Source organism: Homo sapiens, chromosome 2 (assembly GCF_000001405.40).
Source record: "Homo sapiens chromosome 2, GRCh38.p14 Primary Assembly".
NCBI classification, from domain to species: Eukaryota; Metazoa; Chordata; class Mammalia; order Primates; family Hominidae; genus Homo; species Homo sapiens.
The window spans coordinates 91488388-91489702 of record NC_000002.12 but is presented as its reverse complement, the minus strand read 5'-3'; the positions used below and the strand labels follow the sequence as shown (position 1 = coordinate 91489702).

At 33.0% G+C, this 1315-nt stretch overlaps 1 annotated feature.

The window, feature by feature from the left end:
- Positions 298 to 848: an enhancer, noted in NCBI's record as "NANOG hESC enhancer chr2:91686545-91687095 (GRCh37/hg19 assembly coordinates)". NCBI's record gives its function as "activates a minimal SCP1, AML or CMV promoter by ChIP-STARR-seq in primed H9 embryonic stem cells {active_cell/tissue: H9 hESC(primed)}" and the evidence as "EXISTENCE:reporter gene assay evidence [ECO:0000049][PMID:30033119]".

Below are 1315 nucleotides of genomic sequence, written 5' to 3'. Positions count from 1 at the left end.
GAAATGCAAAACTAGCCAAGGAGTATCGAGAGGACAAAATTGATAATTGATATTGTTATTACCTTCAAAGTTTGATTGCATTGATTAGCTTATTATTTTTATTAAAATCATTTTAAAGAGCATATAAAGTTCTATGCCAAAGCATGTTTGGCCTGACAAGTTGGGCTGTCACTTCCTTTTGACAAGACTTTCATTTTTATCAGCTTTAAATGCATGTGTCATTACTATTCTGGTTAGGTAACATAATTATCCCACTGCAGAATATATAATTTCAAAAGAGTCTTGTGGATATTTGATGCCTTTTCCTCTGAAAACAATTGAATTGGGATTTTCAGACCACTTTTATTTCAGTAAGATAAATGTAATCCTTCCTTTAATTGTAATGTAAAATTTAAGAGCATATTGAAATGAAAAGAAAAGCTCAACACTACCTATATTTTGAAAGTTATAAGAGACTAGATAAGTTGGATTTTATGTTTCTTGTGGTACAGAATAGAAACAAAGGTCATTCAAACTAAGTTTGAATGAGAATTAAGTTTAATGGCTCACTTGCTAAACCTGAGTTGCACAATCCTCACAATTCCTTAGGGATGTGGCAAGGTCATCCTTAAATGTAAAGTTCTTGCTCACTTAATGGAAAGCACTGTAGATACATAAATAACATTGTTACCTGTCTTAGTGGGTCAGTATAAAAGACGGGGGTGGTGGTATATGTGAGAATAGTGAAATTTATAGCTAGTTTTGAGGCCCTTGTGACTTTTAAGAGGTATTATGAGTCACTTTAACAAGTTAGTGTTTGTGACATAGTTTCAATTTCTTATGTGAAAGATAGTATTTCAGTTGTAAATGTTCTCTTAATATTCTGGAGAGCTACTCTTTCCTAGCCCATCTGTTTTACTGACTTTAAAAGTTGTTTACAGTTTGTTTCATGTTCAAATGTAGGGTTTTAGTAATTCCTTGGGGTGGGGGGCAGGAATGGGCAGAAGGCCATTGTCTCTAATTTTCCTTTTCCCAACTTTCACTTTCTTTTTTCTATGGATTACATGTCAAGGTGGGTGAGAAAAATGGTGGGGATTGAGAAAAGGGAGCAATTTATTTTTTGTAGGGGAGGTCCAAAATAAAGTCACTTAAGGAATCTGTCATAAAATTTAAATATATGATGAAGCTTGTGCAAGGGGAATATAAGAACTGATTTTACTTTAACCCTTCCTGCTTTATAAAAAGATCTTGTTGATGGCAAAAAGACAAACGCTTTAGCAAACTGTACTGTACACCTTGCATTTGTTTGTATTAATATTAGTTGTTTTATTTTTTA